The sequence below is a fragment of the Homo sapiens genome, chromosome 3 (assembly GCF_000001405.40).
Source record: "Homo sapiens chromosome 3, GRCh38.p14 Primary Assembly".
Taxonomy (NCBI): domain Eukaryota; kingdom Metazoa; phylum Chordata; class Mammalia; order Primates; family Hominidae; genus Homo; species Homo sapiens.
In genome coordinates, this window is record NC_000003.12 from 29,380,273 (window position 1) to 29,400,458 (window position 20,186).

The 20,186-nt window shown below is 38.0% G+C and overlaps 1 protein-coding gene and 1 pseudogene across 12 annotated transcripts in view; both read left to right on the top strand.

The window, feature by feature from the left end:
* RBMS3 (RNA binding motif single stranded interacting protein 3) overlaps window positions 1-20,186 on the top strand; it is a 729,325-nt gene that overhangs the window by 99,202 nt on the left and 609,937 nt on the right. The window lies entirely within an intron of this gene.
* Window positions 10,543-10,969, top strand: RPS12P5 (ribosomal protein S12 pseudogene 5; annotated as a pseudogene).

Below are 20,186 nucleotides of genomic sequence, written 5' to 3' on the forward strand. Positions count from 1 at the left end.
ACAGGACATTTCTTAAAAATATCCTGTAATTTTTATAACATTAGCTTATTATAAATATGGTTATTGGCATGGCAAGGAATGCCAGTATTTTCTACTATCTTTTATATGCTGCTGTACATATTTTGATGTATACCAGTTGCAAAGCCAGCCATGTAAGTTAAAGTGGCATAATTGTAAAAAATCTAAAATGTAATGCTTATAATGTGCTTGGTATTGTTCTAATTGTGGTAAGTTGCATTGCATGTTTTAACTAATTTTAATTATCACAACAAGCCTGTGAGGTAAGTATTGTTTTGTTACCATTTCATAGATAACGAAACTGAGTCATAGAGGGATTAGGTAAATTGCCATGTCACACACATTTGTAAGCAAGGGATGGAGCCAGGAATAGGGCAGGTCAGTGAGGCTCAAATCCCATAGTCAAAATCAGTGGTATTCAAAGTGTAGTCCACAGATTGATGCCAATTTGTGAATTATTTGTCACTAGTCTATGATAAATACAGAAACTGGAAGTAAATGTGTGATGATTGGCCTTGTCCTATTGAAAAACCTATAGACCACTTTGAGTGTAGTGTGGAATTGCATGGGACATGAACTACATATGAGTCAGGAACTGTAGGAACACATTTCCATTCATGATGGATTGGAGATAAGTGGTGCTTCACCTCAGATAATTCAAAAGTAATGCTCTAAACTACATGCTGTGCCACCGTAGATGAAATAAGGTGTTAAATCTTCTCTCCTGTGTCTCTCGATACTCCATATGATACATCATGTGCAAAAAGTGCCATTTGTAATTTGCCTTGTGGAAATTCATTTTATTTTTTTCTTACCTCTTGCACCTGTGAGGAAGTGAGTATGAGAGAAAGATCCAGAAAGGGGAGAGGTCATATGACCCCCTGCTCTCCACTGGCATTGACAAGTAGTAGATTGGGTTCCATAGTATGATAGTCACTTTCCTGCAATCATTCTTCAACACCTCTGGAAATTGTGAGCCTGTAAGAGAAGCAAGGAAGTGTAAGTGCTGAATACTTATCAACATCCTACCTGGTCAAGTGGTCCAGAAAGCTTGAGCATAGTGTTAAATGGACCAATGGTATGTGCTACCTTTTTTCTCTACTAAGGTAATAATGTACTCTTCTAGCTGTAACCTACCAGCCTACAGAAATGGGGTTGGTTTTGAGGTTTGGATAGATCCCTGTACTGTTATTATCCTGAAGTAGGGGTGGGGGATGCTGAAGAGAGCTTCACAGTGCCATCTTTGTATGTAAAAATGGCACAATTATCCTCAAGTGAAGAAATAATGTAGAAAGAGCTGAAGTAGTGCTTTTTCTACCACTTTGCAGAAAATTAGTGTCAGCAGCACATTATTCAGAAATCTTTATCTTTTAATCTACTATGCTAACTCTTATCATATCTGCCCCTGCCCTATTGCTTTAACTAGAGAGGTTTATTTTGTTCCCTTAGCTAATGACTCTATCTGGGTCAGACATCACATATGTGGCACCTGGGTGGAAGTGCTGAGTTCATTTTTGTCTTTTTGTTATTGTTATTAACATCACCTCATGTGTTTGGCATTCTGTGTTGGCTGTCGAACCAGATTCCTCTTCCTTTCCTGAAAGAAAACAGGGCCTAGCATAGGAACAGCTTCTATCTTTCTTTCCTTCCCTGTATATCTCTTTCTTTCCTTCCCTGTCTATCTCTTTCTTTTTTCCTTAACTGGGGAATCAGGAAACTTCTGATGAAAAATCAGTATCATAGTGTTGAGTAAATATTGTGAGTAGACAGGCATTTCCTTGCAGTTTTGAATAGAATCATACCCCTAATAAAGACATTCTGAAGGCTTATAATTCTCACAAAGTCCAGATGTTTCTACAAACAAGGCAAACATGGAGGTAAAATGTGGAATTTTTGAAAGACGTTTAGTTCCCATGTTGTCTTAGTCAAAAACAATGAAAATTTCATTTCCAGTTAACCATCAACTACCTTCAGTAGAAGACTAACATCTTCCTTGGGCAGTTTGCTTCATGGATAGTAAATGGAGGCAGAGAGCAGTTATTCTGCAGCACACAATGCCATGAATGCTCCCACATATGTAATAATGTATATGTAAAAGCATGGATTTGTGCAGTATTGATTTCTTCCTCAACGCTTACTACTTCCTGCCTCTTTGGTGTTGCAAGGTTTTGTCTGTTGCTTTAGTATTTAAATTGCCTCACTTAAGAAATGTGCCCATTATGTGTGGGGGAGAGGAAGGGTTCCATGAAAACGAATGCTCTGAAGTATTTGAAATTCTTCTATGAGCACCGAAGCACTGCAACTCACACTGCTGTGTTCACCAAAATCCTGGAAGCAACACGCTGTTTTGACTTGAAGAAGCAATACCAAAATTATGAAGTCATCTAACATCTTTCCAATTTTAACACAGACTCTAAATATGTGGCAATTCAGTATTTTATTTTTCGTTTATATCCCCTTTCTATACTACCACCGTTTAAACTAACAAAGTTGTTCTTTACAGTTTTAATATAGAATCCAGAGATGAGACATCCTGGATTTGTTATTTTTTCTCCTATTTCTTTTTATAACCCTATTTAAGCAAATTAACAACATCTGGGTTGATTAATGAACAAGCCACACATACTCATAGGCTCATCTGTATGTACATATTATGAATGACGCCTCTGATCAGGAAATCAAACAAGCAAATGAGAAAACCTGTTCACTTGTTCAATGGGTCAGGTGTAACTGTCAAAGAGCATGACTTGGGGAAATATACCCTTCATCTGTGCTCTGGCTTTTCAGGCCCCACAAGCAGCCTCTAGGGCAACAAGGTCATAGATGATGTATTCTGTTAAAATAACAATGCCTTTTATTTTAAGGACACTACTTATACTGGGAAGGTGATCTTTTCCAAGATAGCAATTACCAATGTGAATCCATAAATAAGTTAAAAAATTATGTTTTTTGATCATAAGAATTGACACTTGAGTGGAAATATTCCTCTGATTAGACTAGCTTGGTTTCTCTCGTCACTTGTCTATGTAGGAAGAATTACAATGCAGAGCTGTCCTTTTTGATTTTGCCTCTGATATTGAATGCAAATATTTTGGCTATCAGTCTTTCCTAATGCTACTTACCCCTTGAAGATGGGGAGAAAAGCTGAAGAAAGCTATTTCTGTAATCTTAATATTTCTTCCATGACACTTGTAAATTGATTTGCCAAGAAGGGTAAAAAAAATCAATGCAGATGGCTAGTTAAGTTTATTGTGGTTCAGACTCAAACTGTTGTATGTGGATGTACACTTGGGAGCCAAGGAATAGGGATATATTGTTAGTGTAAAATATCCAGTTCCATACTAACTTATGAACTCTTTTAGGTCATTCATCTTATTCAACTTCATTCCCTGGCACCTCACTTAGTACCTGGCAATGTGTTGTAGTAGCTAAGAAAATGTGCGATCTGGACTCTGACTATCCAGGTTCAAATTTTTGCTCTTCTACTTACTAACAATATGATCCTGGATCGTAAGTTTTCAGTGACCGTAAGTTTTCAGTGTCTTTAGCTGTAAAATGTGGGCAATACTATTATTTAACTCATAGAATTATTATAAAGATTGAAAAGGCAAAGTGTGAAGTACTCAGCCCATAGTGAGCAACCAGTATATGTTAACTATACGATAAGTATTTCTTTACTCACCAAATTTTGAAATAAACCATTACCTGAGGTGGTTGGTAATGGTGAAATTATAATGGAAGAGAGCTGGGCACAGTGGCTCATGCCTGTAATCCCAGCACTTTGGGAGGCCAAGCCAGGTAGATTGTTTTAGCCCAGGAGTTCAAGACCAGCTGGGGCAACATGGTGAAACAGCATATCTACAAAAAATACAAAAATTAGCCAGGCATGGTGAGATGTGCCCATAGTCTCAACTAATAGGGAGGCTGAGGTGGGAAGATCTCTTGAACCCGGGAGGTTGAGGCTGCTGTGAGCCGTGATCGCACCACTATACTCCAGCCTGGGCATCAGAGTGAGACTCTGTCTCAGGAAAAAACAAACAAACAAACAAATAAAACAATTATAGTGGAAGAGAATCTGAACATGAAGATGGAATTCTAACCTTGCTTAAGAAGTAAACATATACACCAATAATAATAATAATAATAAGAAGAAGAAGAAGAAGAAGAAGAAGAAGAATCCAGAAAGACTCCAGACATAGGAAATAACATCTGACATGATTTGAAAAAGAGTAGTGAAGTGAAATAGAGGCCCACAGCTCCTCTTTTCTGGTATAAAACTTTTTATTGAAACTACCTGTGTCGTAAAACAGGGAGAGAAGTTTTGCTACCGATAATGATAATTTGATGCCTTAACTGTATTAATATAGCAAGTGTGACTCAAGGATGTCTGGAGTCTAAATATAAAGGTCTGAGAAGAGACATGACTGTTTCAGAGGTTTAGAGTGGTAAAGCCAATAAGTGGTTTCCGGCCTTCCCAGGCCACTCCGCATAAAGCATCCTCACTCCCTGAGGGCCTCTGACATTCCTCAGTGTTGTGAGCGGGGAAGAGAGAAATGCTTTTTGGTTGGCTCAGATTACCTTGTTCTGGTTAAATGAAAAAGTATTAACATACGTTTCTTGTCACCACAATTCCAGCTGTCCAAGTCAGTGCTTTCGGAGCAGAGATGTATGATCTTATAACTCCTGAGGTTAAAAAAGAAATGTGTTGCCGAACAAACCTCCTCATCTTTGACACCCTGTTTCCTGCCTGTTGTGTGTGACAGGAAGGTAAAAAGGTAAAGACTAAACAGTAGATACTCTTCAGTGAGTGGTTAGTCCAGCATTACCTGATGGTGTTTAGTATTTGCCATTCTGAAAGATGATCAGAAAGCAAACCCCTTAAAGAGAAAAATTAACCAGTTTGTTTTGGCAGGCTATTCTGGAGCACATGCTAAAGTGACCACAGTTGTTTTTAATGCCCAGCAGACCTTCGCAACTAATCCTATTACCGCAGGACTCCCAGGACTGTCTGGTTAGCACTCCCCACAGATTTGTCCACTCCCATTTCTGACCCCACAACCAATCCCTTCCCTTGGGCCCTCTGGAACTCGGTCATACAGAAAATCTCCTTTATCCTCAAATTTTCCTGAATTTTTTGGTTTCACTGTTTTACTCAAATTCAAACTTGGATACCCCAGAAGACACTACTTCCTCTAAGCCACCTCAAACTGGGGGAGCATAACTGCTGGTGCCAGTGGGCCTTCTTTATTGTAGTTTCAGATCATTCTCATTCCATCTTCTGTGCAACCCCCCTCTATGAGTCTCGTGGGTCTTTGGACTATGTGACTCACTACCTCTCCTTACTTGATTCACTGTATCCCATACTGACCTTGCCATATTCTTGGAAATTTTTGCACCGTGGCCTCTCCATTCTTTGGCTTCTTCTCCTCCATTGATTTTATTCATATTTTGCCTCAGCCACACATGCAAAGGACATATCCTAGACTCTCTCATTACCAATTACTAAAAACCCTTCATAATTCCTATCTCAGGCATCTTACTTTTGGGTCGTTTGTTCCTATTTTAGCAGCTCAACACTTTGAGCATTCTGATACCAACACTTTCTTTAAATCTCATTATGAACTATGGCATCTATTATTTTTTCTTTGTTGCTCATTTTCCTCATGTCCCAGCATCTCTTTATACTCTGCTTAGATTTCGTGAAAAGCCATTATTTCATGAAAAACTGTTCCAAACTACCAATGTCTGTATCCTTATACCGTTGCTTATATAAACTCGCTTGTCCCTCTCTCTTCTTTCTTTAAATGACTCTGGTAAAATCCTAATTATGGTATATCCAATTGACTTTTGTTTTACCTGCATGTACACACCTGAACAGAGCTGGAGAAAAACACTCTATCCTGCTTAACAGTCTCATTTTAACAGCATGACCACTCGCTTACCTTAAGTGGGTTCTCGGTGCTGCCACGCAACCTATTATATTTTTCTAGTCTATTTATTCTCCCATTCCATAATGATGACTATTTTGTACATTTTCTCTCCTTTCTGCCTTTCAATATTTATTCCAGCTGTTAACTTTACTATTTCATTAAAAACAGAGAATCAATGGAAAGAGAACTTCAAAATGATCCCACTATAACACCTCCCAACCCTTCCATACTACCAACATGTATATCCTTATACTCTTCTTTCTTTCATGTTACTGTGGATGAATCATGAGGGTCCTTCGTAGCAAAGATCATCTCTTCTACTTGTGCACTGGATCACATACCTCTTCTGTATACAAAGCAGCAATTGTTGCTCTCCTGAAACATCAGTTATGTTTTTCCTTTTCAACTGAATTATTTCTACCAGCATACAGACATGCTGCAATGCTTCCCATCTTAAGAGAAAAAAAGCTCTTGGCTCCATTTCATTTTCAGTGACTGCCTAATCTCCACCCCATTTTAAAGCAAACTCAGTAAACGAGAAGTCTCTACTCACTGTTTCCACTTCCTTTCTTCCTGTTCTCTCCTAAAGCCACTTCAATCATGTTTTCATCTCCACTACTCGAGCAAAATGATTTTTGTCAACGTCATCAAAGATCTTTATGTTGCCAGATCCAATGGACCATTCCCATTTTTCATTTTACTTTAAAATCTTGGTAACATTTGATACCCTTGATCAACTCTTCTTTCTTAAAACTTGGATTGTGAGACAGTCTTCTCTTGTGTCCCTCATTGCTTACCGGTTACCCCTTCTCAATCTCGCCAGCTTGATTTCCCTTATTTCAATTCTAGGGGATTCTGGCGCTTAGTCCTTGGATCTCTGGATATCTTTATCTTCACTCATTTCTTTAAGGAGCATATATAAATTTGCTTCTTTAAATATCACCTATATCATGATGATCCTCAAATTTGTATCACTATGGTTGACTTCTCACCTGAACTCCAGGTTATAAAAAACTAAAAACTGCATTTTCACTTTGGATGTTAAATAGGAATTCCAAAGTTAACATGTTCAAAACAAGTCATTATTTTCCCCAAACCTGCTTTACTTTCAGTCTTCACAATCACAAAGAAAAAACAACTCCATCCTTCTCACTGATTTAGCTAAAACTTTGATTGTCCCCTTTTTTCTCACCTGTCACATAGAATTTTTCAGCAAATATCAATGGCTCTACTTGACTGTTTTTCACATTTCCGTCTCTGTAATCCTGGTCCAGACCTACATAATTGCCTGCCTATGGTATGGCAATACATTTTTAACAGCTAAACCTGCTTATATCCCTGCCTCCCCACAATCTGTTCTCCACCGTGCAGCCAGAGTAAACGTTTTAAAATGTATAGATGGCCGGGCGCGGTGGCTCACACCTGTAATCCCAGCACTTTGGGAGGCCAAGGTGGGCGGATCATGAGGTCAGGAGATCCAGACCATCCTGGGTAACACGGTGAAACCCCGTCCCTACTAAAAAATACAAAATAAATAAATAAATAAATAAAATATATATAAATTCATGCCATGCTTTTCTGCTACAAACCTTCCAAAAGTTTTGGATCTCATTCAAAGTAAAAGAAGAAGCTTTTGTAAATATCCACACAACCTTGCTTCTCTTCTGTGTTACCTTCTTCTCTCCTAATTTACTGCATTCTAACAGTGCTGGCCTCTTACCTATTTCTTAGGCTAAGAGAACCCAAACATTTTTCCTACCACTCCCACCCTCATTTATCTGTTTGGTTTATTTATTCAGGTCTCTGATGAAATGTCACTCCATCAGAAATAACTTCCCCAACCAAACTGTCTACACACACACAGACACACACACACACACACACACACACATGTGTGTGTATGTATATATGTGTATATTAAAAAATACATGTGTATCACCACTCCCTTTACCCCTAGCTTTTCATATACCTTTACCTGCTTTATTTATCTCCATATTCTAAAATCACTCAGGATAGAGAAATAAGCGGTTTGCTTGTTGTCTGACTCTCTGTAATAGAATGTCAGCTTCAGAAAAGTATAAACTTCTGTGTGTTTTATTCATTGCCAGATTTTTAGCACCTAGAAGAGTCCGTGATATATAGATGCACCATAAATATTTGTTGCATGAATAACTCACTGAATAAAGGTGTATGAGCTTAGATTTGACTGTTTATCTTTTTTTATCACTGCACTATAAAACCCAAGTTTGGTTTCCAGGAAGGCCACGTTAAAGAAACACTGTAATTAGAGAGTTAGATAATTTGGCATTGAGGAAACACCACTTTGCCCCCCACTGCCAATCTGTGCACTGGCAAAATTTTTTTTCTTTTTTGAGGCAGAGTCTTGCTCTGTCGCACAGGCTGGAGTGCAGTGGCGCGATCTCGGCTCACTGCCAGCTCTGCCTCACGCCATTCTCCGCCTCAGCCTCCCGAGTAGCTGGGACTACAGGCAACCGCCACTATGCCCAGCTAATTTTAGTATTTTTAGTAGAGACAGGGTTTCACCATGTTAGCCAGGATGGTCTCAATCTCCTGACCTCGTGATCCGCCCGCCTTGGCCTCCCAAAGTGCTGGGATTACAGGCGTGAGTCACTGCGCCTGGCCCAAAATTTTTCTGTTGCAATGAGATACTACTATTTTCTTACAGAAAGAGCTTGCAGACCTGATGTCTCCCTCCCATTTATGTAGACACATCATCAGGCAGTTTGCCTCAGTATTGATTTGAGAATTTGAGAGGAATCATCTCTTGATTTTTTAAAATTTAAAAGTTTTATTTAATTGAATCCTTTTGGAGAATTATCCTACCTTAGGAAAAATAGTGAAGACATAACAGCAGAATCAGTTTGGTGCTCCCTCTAGACAAGCAAAAAATAAAAGTGTATGGAAGATCTGACTCTCACTGTCTTCTCTTCCCCTCTGATTGCCCAGGTATATCTCTTAGCCATGGGTTCTCATTTTTCTTCTTTGCCATTAGTTTGGCTTTTTTATTTTCTCTGTTAACACATTCCACCCTTGAGATTGCTGTAACAGTGATCTCAACCTCTGATAAGGTAAGTTTATAAACTTAATGAGGAAAAAATGGGGAAAAAGGTCACTCTTCTGCTGCAGAAGTGCGCTTGGCTTCTCTTGGTTTGCTGCCTATTCACTGGCATTAAGTACCTGAACAAATGTTTTATCACAGACAGGGAACTGTTGAGGGATGTTCACAATGCATTGAACATCCTTAGGCATAATTTTTATGTGAACTGGGCATCCTTAAATACATTCTGACTCCATGATCAGATTACCAGAAAGTGCAGGTCCCACTCACTATCTTGATTCAGCATCTCCCATCTGGCCAAAGTTGAATTTTACATTGAGTTGGATGGTGATAAATATGCTTAGCAAAAGTATATTCGTTGTTTCTGAAGTTCTCTGTGCTGATAAACACTGGCTGGGACTAGGGAAGTGGGCCCCAAATAAAACAATAGCAATAATCCCCAGACTGCTTGAGTAGTGGCAGTCTTTATTCTTGTTCACTAAATGGAAGTTGTAGTTTAGTTTTATTTCTCTCATAAGGCTCTGCTGTTTGAGGACTCAGCTTTGGGGCCGTTGAGTGCTTATTAGTGGTAGCTCCAGAATTGCTTCATAGAGGTAGAAATAGGGAATGGGGCGGGGGCTCCTGGTGGGTGGAAAAAAGGGTAAGGGACTGCTACTGAAAGTGGTCACTATACTTTATTTAGATTTTATATTTGTTTGTGATGGCTTTAGTAGGGATTGATAGGCAGTGCATGTGCTGATGGAGATAAAAGAGGCTCTAAAAGACCCCTCCTACAAAACCCCTTGATACCACTCCTGTGAAAAACATCAAGTTTTGATTTTTGTTTGCATGGCTGTTATCAAATTCCATTTTGAATGAGTAACAAAGCTATGGGAGACTTTTTAAACTCTTTTGAAAATTGAAGATTGTAGGAATCCCCCTTTCCCCATCTCTTCTGCCTATGTAGACATCTTGGGGATTTCCAAATTCAAGATAAAATGTTATTGTTCTAAAATAAATAGATTTGGAAAATGTGGTTTTGACACTGTATTTACCAAAAAAAGTTCTATTGCTACATATTTAAAGAGATATTTTATTATTTTAAAAAGCTGCATAGTCAAATAAGCTGGGAAGGCCCTGACTATCAATGCATTTCATTAAATCTAAGATGCTTTTGATTATAATATAGACTGTTTTAATGTACTCCTAAGAAAAATATACTGCCAATTAGACTCTGCTTCTACTGTAAGAAGCATCTCCATATCAAAGTTTATTTAAAAAAAAAATGAAAAGACATGCCTTTGAATTTATGAAATATAATATATACAACCTTTCTGAAGAGCCCCATGGTTGATTAGTGTATCTTAGGTTCTGAGAAACACTGCAGTAAAAATATCTGTTAAGATTTCTTTAAACTAGCATTTCCCAAACCACCTGATTAGCCATTTGAGTTTCTATCACACCACTCTGTCTCATAACATTTGTTAGAATTTCTTTGGCTCTTTCACTGCCAAGTTGCCTTAATGTGAGGAGGCATTGAAAATTGGGATTCACCCGTAACTCACTGCCATGCCCAAGGAAGGCATTGCTGCTGGAGGCGTAGTGGACATTAACACTGCTTTGCAAGAGGAGCTGAAGACCACCCTCATCCATGACGGCTACCATGGGGAATTTGTAAAGTAGTCACAGTCTTAGACAAAAGCCACGCCCATCTCTGTGTTTACATTCAACTGTAATGAGCTTTGTATGTCAAGTTGGTGGAGGCCCTTTGTGCTGAACAGCAAATCAACCTAATTAAGACTGATGACACCAAGAGACTAGGAATCGATAGTGGCAGAAACCCCAAAAAAATGGTTAGTTGCAGTTGTGTAGTAGTTAAGGTCTATGGCAAAGAATCTCCGGCCAACCATGTCATTAAAGAGTGCTTCAAATGCCAGAAATGAACAAATAAAATGTTGGCTCAAAAAATTTGAAAATAACATGGAATATTATCCAATACAAGCATGGCAAAGGCAGGCTATCTATTGAAATATTTGAAGAAATTCTGAGAAAGAAAAGAAATGAAAGACAAACTTGAAAAAAAACAGATGGAGCAAGCCAGGTAGAACAACTGTTAAGAATCCAGAAAAACAAAAATCAAAGAAACTATTCTAAACAAGCTATCAAATTTGTGTGACAAACTGTGACTTCATGGAGAAGAGTTCAATTAGAAAAACGGTGGAAAGGAGATTAAGACTTTGATTGGTGAGAGTTTATGAAGACTGACACAATTTAAAAAGCTATTATAGTTATTAATACACTCTTAGCTATAAGCTGAGAGTATTCCTAGCATGCTATTTAAATCTGACATCAGGCAACAACCAAAATTATATTTGTGTAAGTCATATGGGAAGGGTTAGGGAGGGAGACAAGTGGCTCACCCTTGGGAAAAGATGTTCATATCAACTTTGCAGTCTCTACTTTCTTATCTGTAAAGTAGGGATGAGCAAAATTGAACAAGATATTTAGTTTTACAAAAATAGTCACCCATATTATATAAAAATATGATTATTTTTGTAAAACTCAATACAGAAATGGAAACCGATGACATGCAACCCATTGACAATTAAATGAGTTGTATGAGATTGATTTTTAACATAATAGAGGAATTATAGCCATGATAAATAAAGTTAAATTAAGAAAACGTAGAGGCCTGGCATGGTGGCTCACGCCTGTAATCCCAGCACTTTGGGAGGTCGAGGAGGGTGGATCACTTGAGGTCAGGAGTTCAAGACCAACTTGGGCAACATGGTGAAACCCCATCTCTGCTAAAAATACAAAACTGAGCCAGGCATGGTGGCACAAGCCTGTAGTCCCAGCTACTCGGGAGGCTGAGGCATGAGAATCACTTGAACCCGGGAGGTGGAGGCTGCAGTGAGCCGAGATTGTGCCACTGCACTCCAGCCTGGGCAACAGAGGGAGTCCCTGTCTAAAAAAGAAAAAGAAAACGTAGAGAAAAATAAAAGGTAAGATCTATTGCCAAATATATATAAAACATATACAAACCAAATGAATATGTGTATGATACTACCTGAAATAATCTTATTTTTTGGTTACTTGTTTATTCCATCTCATCCACCTGGAAAATATCACTCATGAGAGTAGACTTTCTTTTTTTCATCACTTTATCCCAGCTCTTATGGTTAGTTCCTGGAATATAGGAGTCATTCAGTAAATATTTGTAAAATAGTTGCAAAGTAAATTAATACATTAATGAAATATAATTTAACCCCACCATTTAGTACTTATTATAATTTGATACTGTGTCCTCCTTAAAGCTTTTAAACCTTTGCTTAGTAGATAATATTTTTCTCTGGAATTTTTTAAAATTGCAAATAACAAAATATTTTAAACTGCAAACCATGATTCTACAGTGGAGAGAATGTTAAACACACAGACATACACACAGACACACAAACACACATAAAAATTGCCTTAATATGATTGGTCACAGTTATACATCTATGATGGCAAGGATGACAGAAGAGAATCCACTGCTATGTTGGGTCAGGTGAAAAGAGATCATGCCAGTCACTTCACTGCAGTTGCCCTTTGCCACATTATAAGATGGCATAGTGTCTACAGAAAAAAAAAAACAAGAAAAAAAGGAAGACTTATCTTCTCCCTGTTACAATTTTTCACCTAAATGTCAGGGTCAGATTCACCCTGCTGAATTTTTTTTCCTCCTTTCTGTGAAAGAGCCACTATTTCCACAGATTGCTTTAACAATGAGTAAACTTTTGCTGGTTTATGTGTGAAAACTACACTGCAAAGTACCTTATAATGTGCTTAACTATTAGCAGAACATAACCTTTTCTATGACTTGTAATATAATATACTGTGTGGACTTATGACAGATATAGCCCATCTCTATTATAAGGTCCATTCTGTGACCCAGAAACTATTTTGGATTCTGAGAGTTTAAAAAATGCATGGGACTACCTGCCAGGAACTCATGGTCCAGGATATGATACCAATATGAAAATAAATACAGCATAATGTATTAAAGAAAAGGAATGAGGCTTTTGAAATTTTTATAAATACAGTACAGTGTTGAAGAATTAAAGAATTCTGGCAGCGATGGCTTAAGAGGTGTATATTCCAAATTGTATGCACACACACACACAATTAATTAATTTTGTTATTCAATGGAAAATCATCAGAAGGAGAAAATGAGGACTAGTGGATGATGAACTACCCAGATGCCACTTAATAGTATCATATTTAACAAAACCAGGCTTATGACATAGGACAAAAACTCTACTGATTCTATTAAAATATAAGTCAGGTTATGTGACTCCTGTGCCCCAAACTATCGGGGGAAACAGCCCCCAGTATTTCAACGTAGGTTCTTTTCTATTTTTCCCTAAGTGTCGACCCTAAGTGTTGAGAAGAGAAAGAGTACAAAGAGAGAAATTTTACAGCTGGGCCTCCGGGGGTGACATCATGTATTGGCAGGTTCCGTGATGCCCCCTGAGCCACAAAACCAGCAAGTTTTTATTAGGGATTTCGAAAGGGGAGGTGGGTACGAGCAGGGAGTAAGTCACAAAGATCACATGCTTGAAAGGGCAATAAAAGATCACAAGGGCAGAGATGCAGAGCAAGATCACAAGGCTAGAGCGAAATTAGAATTACTGATGAGGTTCCATGTCCCACTGGGCATGCATTGTCATTGATAAACATCTTAACAGGAAACAGGGTTCGAGAGCAGACAACTGGTCTGACTAGAATTTGCCAGGCTGGAATTTCCTAATCCTAGCAAGCCTGAGATCACTGCAGGAGAACAGGGTGTATTTCATCCCTTATCTTCAACTGCATAAGACAGACACTCTCAGAGCAGCCATTTAGAGACTGCCCCCTGGGAATGCATTCCTTTCCCAGGGTTATTTCTTGCTGGGAAAATAATTCAGCAATATTTCTCCTATTCGCTTTCTGCAAGAAGAGAAATATGACTCTGTTCTGCCCCACCCCGCAGGCAGTCAGACTTTATGGTTATCTCCCTTGTTCCCTGAAAATCGCTGTTATCCTGTTCCTTTTCAGGGTGCCCAGATTTCATATTGTTCAAACACAAATGTTTTACAAACAATTTATATGGATAATGCAATCATCACAGGGTCCTGAGGAGACATACATCCTCAGCTTACGAAGATGACAGGATTAAGAGATTAAAGACAGGCATAGGAAGTTATAAGAGTATTGATTGAGAAAGTGATAAATGTCCATGAAATCTTCAGAATTTATATTCAGAGATTGCAGTAAAGACAGGTGTAAGAAATTATAAAAGTATTAATTTGGGGAACTAATAAACGTCCATGAAATCTTCACAATTTATGTTCTTTGCCGCAGCTTCAGCCGGTACCTCCTTTCTTGGTCCCTGACTTCCCACAACACCAAACCATTTAAAAATTCTCCTAAGTCCTCACAGTGGCCTCTAAGGCCCTCTGTGATCTTTCCAGGCACCCCCCTGTCTTTGATTGCCTCTCCTGTTACTTTTCTGGTTCAGACTGCTTCAGCCACAGTGGCCTCTTTGCCGGACCTCAGATTTGGCCTTTCTTCAACTCTTTTCCACTCCGCATTCCACCTGTTGGGAACACTCTTTCCTCACATAGCCACACCTCCTTCCAGACTTTGTTCAAAAGTTCAATCGAGTCTGCTCTGGCCACCCCACTTAAATTTACAAACTGCCTCTCTGGCCCCTTTCAGCAATGCCACCTCCCAATCTCCCAGTATTACTCTGTTTAGTTTTATGTATGCTGGGTTGGGGGGGTTAATCTGTAAAGAAGAATAATTCATGATCTGTTCAAATCCTCATTACCACTTTCTAATCTGAATGTGAAAAGCATCAGGAGCCAGTTATCAAAGTATCCCTCTCCTCTCCATTGCTAGTCATTTTCTACCACAAGTTTTTTCTAGCCACCATTGGAACTAACCTACAGCAAACTTCTGGAATTAGGTATTAGCTTGTCAACTGACAATACCCACAAGGATGTGCATCTGAAATTTGTGTGTGAGTGTGTTTTATGTATGTATTTGTAAAACGGCATGTAGGGTATGGGGAAAACACTGGGTCAGTGGTCATAAGAAATACTTAGGGTCAAATCCCCATCTGTAAAATGGGGGTAATTCCTGTTCTACCTAATGCACAGAATTCCCATTAGATAAAAATGAGTTAGTGTATGCCAAAATGCTCTTAATGCTGGAGAGTGCTATGATGCTTCTCCATCATTGTCATTAGAGCTACATTTAAGCAAATGCTTACATTTGATAACACCTTATATCTTTATAAAATGTTCCACTTTCAAAAGCAATAAGCAAGTAACCATTGTTTTCAAGTGAATCATTGTCTTAATTTTCTCAAAAATATTGTTGGCATTCTTGTAATGGTTAAATTAAAAACAAAGACATGTTTTAAACATTAAAGATATTAATGTTAAAATTTAGATTCAGAGAAGGTCAGTGACTTATCTGTGATCAAATTGCTACTAAGTAATAAAGGGTGTTGAGTGTGTTTTCTGCTCCAACTTGGCTTCCCACATAAATAATGAAACATATAATAGGGTAAATATGGATGGAGGCTGGAATTATTGGAAATCAAAATACAGAAATATCAATGGACAAATCTAGGGAAGAGAGTTTGATGAGGAGCAAGATATTTGCATAGTTTTGAGGCATCTCTTCATAAATTGCTTTTTAGTTGCAAGCTGAAAAATTGTAACTATACAATGGAAACATTAGATAACAATTTGATCAGGTGATGAACATCAACAATGAGGCGCAGGTGGATATCATGTGCCTATGGATAGAGGCGCAGCTGGATATCATGTGCCTATGGATATGATTCTCTGAGAAGGACATAACATAACTTATGTATGTTCCAGCCACGAATCATGCATAATCTGAATTTGATCACAAGGAAACATTAGATAAATTCAAAATAAAGAGCATTCTTCAATAAAACAAGCCTATATTTTTAAAAAATGTCAATATCACAAAAGACAAAAACCAAAGACATGTTCCAGGTTAAGGGGGACAAAAGTGACATAACAATTAAATGCACTGTAACTGGATGCTGTATGGCAAGATGGAAAATGCTATTATTATTATGGGGTTAAATGGCAAAATTGGAGTACTAATTCTAGATTATTGTATCAATGTTAGATTTACTGATATTGATAACTGTACTATAGTCTAATACGTGAATATCCTTATTCCTGGAAAACTCATACTGAAGTTATTAGGGATAAAGAACCATGATTTACCAATTTCACTCTTGGACGGTTCAGGAAAAAAATGTTTTTAGATAGTTAGATGGACAAATAAATCTAGATCTAGACAGAGCAGTACATTTTATTAAAGTAAATAGGGCAAAATATAGTAGGTGAATCTAGGGAAAAGATATATTCTTGCATTTTCTTTGTACTATTTATGCAACCTTTCTCTGTTTGAAATCATTTCCCAAAAAAATACTTTTAAATATAATGAGGCACAGCAGTTGAGGCTTCTGTTTATTTGACTCATCTGAAAGAGTTTATTTTCTTTAGTAAATACCTAACTTACAATCAGGCAGGGACGTTTTCTCTTGGGAAGGTAAGATGTTTCGTGCATAAAAGTAGCAATACAGAGGTGTTTGATATGACAATATTTTACTGCATTTTCATTTTTTATTATTTATTATTAATGAAATGCAGTTGCCTTTGTAGCCTGCTGAGTGTTTAATAATGAAATTGTGCATCATTCATTTTCAAATGTCTGTGCCTCGTATGTGTTAGGAACATGAATTCAATATGAACTTCAAATCATTTCGTAAAGGGAGAACTGCAGATAGAGTTAACCAACTGATGCTCTTTAAATGCATGTTTATATACACAATTTCCAGGATGACATGGCAGATTAGGAGTTTGTGTGTTATATGTAAAGTACCTATTCATTGAGCTTCTGGATATATGGTTTTAGATATCTACTTAAGTCCTCATAATATAGCATGGTTTAGGAACATGTTTCCTGTAGTCTATGATTGAATTTATTCAGTTTCAAAAACTGATTATATTCTTCCTTAAAGTTCCAAGGTTCTTTATGTAAATTCACATCAATTAGTTCTTAATTTATGATGGTCCGATCCCCCAAATTGGCCTTGGTTTTAAACGCTTACTGTGTTGAATGGTTCTCCCAACTTTTACCATTGTACTCAGCATGTTCAATATAATACCTATCCTTGGCTAGTTTGGAATGAGGAAGTGAGACTAACTTTAACCCTAAAGAGAGGAACAGACCCCTAAGACAGCCATGTCCCAAAACTCTTCCCCCTCACATGTCCTTCTTCTCCCATCCTTTCCTATTATCCTCTTCTTCTTCAACTTGCTCTTCACCCCTCCCCCTTACAGCTCTTCTGTTCTAAACTCCTTTCCATTTTATTTTGAGATGAGATCTTTCTGTGTCACTCAGGCTGGATTCGAACTCCTGGGCTCAAGCAATCCACCTGCCTCAGCCTCCCGAGCAGCTGGAACTATAGATGCATGTCACTGTGCCTGGCTACATTTCTCTATTTTAGCCACAAGTGAGCTGCAGACAGGTGATTCCATAGCCATAGGGTCTCGATCTCCCATCAGTGACAGAATAAATAAAAGATGCTTCCATGATGAGCAAGTATTCAAACTATGATAAGGAAGGATATGAAAGAGATTACTTCTAAATCTCCTTATGGCCTTTGGGAAATTATAGACATAGCTACTCTCAGTGCTGTTAGTGAATTTGCAGAATCTAGAACCCAGATTCCTTCTTTACAACTTAGTGGCTATATGAGCATCATAAATCAACCTCTTTGAGTCACAGACTCCTCATCCATCAAATAGAGGTAATGATGAGATGAATTCAGAGGACACTTGAGAGGTGTGAAATACTGTCTAAGATGCTATTTATATTGTCATTGTGGCCAGCAGTGTTATTTCTTTAATTTCACTTTTAGGGTAGTTTACCTCTTCAACACCAAGACAGTCTTTACAGAACCTTTTTGACTAGGGAGCAGGATGGATACAATTTGTGTGAAGGAGCTTATGTACAAGAGAGGCAAATTCCTCTCCCTTTTTCTCTCTGGTCATCAGGAAGGTCTCAAGGACAAGTGTCTCCTCAACTGCACATCCTAGAATCATGTGCCAGCTATTGGAGTAAATAAAATAATCTTTTAACTGATAAACAGATCTTGGTTTGGCAAAAGTCAGATTTTTCTGTGTGTGATTTGAAAACTCTTCTGAATTAGAGATGAAAAGATCTTTCTCAGGTCTTCCCTTTGGCAGAGTTCCAGCTAGAACACGTGGTCATTGACCACCATAACTGTTGGTGACCAGGATGTCTAGAAATGCTGTCAAGATGGCTATGCAGTGAAATAGTGTTCTTAGTGCTTACAAGATCCTTGTCATGTGCTGCAGGTGCCAAGTGATGCAAAAAATGTTTACATGCCATGAATAAAACTAAAAGTGCGAACCTCAACCAGTCTATTTTTATAGTGGATCTACACACAAGAGGACACTTACAAAGGAGATAATGTAATTTAGCTCTGGGAACTCAGCTTTAAGAGGACGATTGGTTTTGTTTTTATGTGTTTTTGCTTTTTTAGAATTTTCTGCTGTACATCTGGGAAATGCTTATTGTGAGTGTGAATCACTTAGTAGCTCTCCTCAGCGTTTCCATTTTGATATTCCCAGGCTGCCAGTGCTAAGCAGTGTTTCTGGCTGAAGCTTTGAAAAATCATTTTTTCCTATCAAGCCTTTTCTCTACTTTAGCCCTGCCTCATTTCCCTTTCTTGCCTCTAAAAGTTTTAACTTCCTTTCGTAAATTGCAGGGCATAATGACTTCAAACAAATAAAGTCCAAGTCTCAAACAGCTATGGCCCCACATGTGTGTGTGTGTGTATATATATATAAGCAAATATGCATACATCCACACATCTATATATGTTTTCAAACCACTGGCTTATATCAGTAATAGTTTGGTGGCAAAGTTCCTGAATTTCAAGGTGGATTTCAAAACTCCATTTCTTCCATTTGTTGGCTTAGGTACAATGTAATTGAGCATTGTGATTAACAAATACAGATTCTTGGCTATAAGCAAGAGCAAATCTATCTATTAAGAGCTTGAAAAAATTGAGGTTTATTTGCCTTTTAGAAAAGAAGGCTGAGACAAATACTCTAGGAATGAATTGCTACTGAAAAGTTGCAAACATCCATGGCACTTCGGCTTTGGCCTCATGGTCTCAAAATAGCTGCCGAACTTCCAGCATCATGGCCTGATTACATCAATGTCCTGAATTTTGCCCATGTTAAAGGCTTCAGTAAAGCCAAAGGGGAACAAAAGCCAAATATATTTGCCCACTGAATCTATTACCTTGATTAGAAAAGTAATATTTTTTTTAACCCAATAATATCTGCTTAGCCAATATTCAATTATGCCTTGTTGGCTAGAAGTGTCATAAAGCCACTCCTAGCTAAAGCACTGATAGGCAGGTAGAGAAGTAAAATGAAGGACAATGGCTAAATCAGCTAAAACTAATTGTATTTGTCACAGATCCCAAGAGAATTATAGAAAACTACATTTTTTTGTTTTGCTTTATTTTAGAATGGTCAAGAGATAAAAACTGTAGGGATCAAATTCTATACATGTGCCAGGTTGCTGAATTCAGGTTTCAAGGATATGGAGCAAAAGTATGGTAAAGGTGTTGTAGATGCAGAAGCAGAAAGATTGGCACACCCAAGCAGAATATTTGGCTAGAGCAGTAATAAATTTTTTAAATGTCTACTTTCCAGCCCTTCTGGGGAAAAAAGCTTGATAAACCTATTGATAAAATTAAATGATATCTGTATTTCATTCTGAGATGAAGAGTTAAATTCAAGGCATATTTATGGGCCACTTACTGAGTTCACAAGCACTGTGCTGACACCACAGACATTCTGACACATGCTACAATATGATGAACCTTGAGGACGTTATGCTAAGTGAAATAGGCCAGGCACAAAAGGACAATTACTGTACAATTCCACTTACGTGAGATGGCTAGAGTAGTCAAATTCATAGAGACAAAAAGTAGAAGAGCAGTTAGTTACCAGAGGCTGGAAGGAGGGAGAAATGGGTATAATTTAATGAGTAAAGAG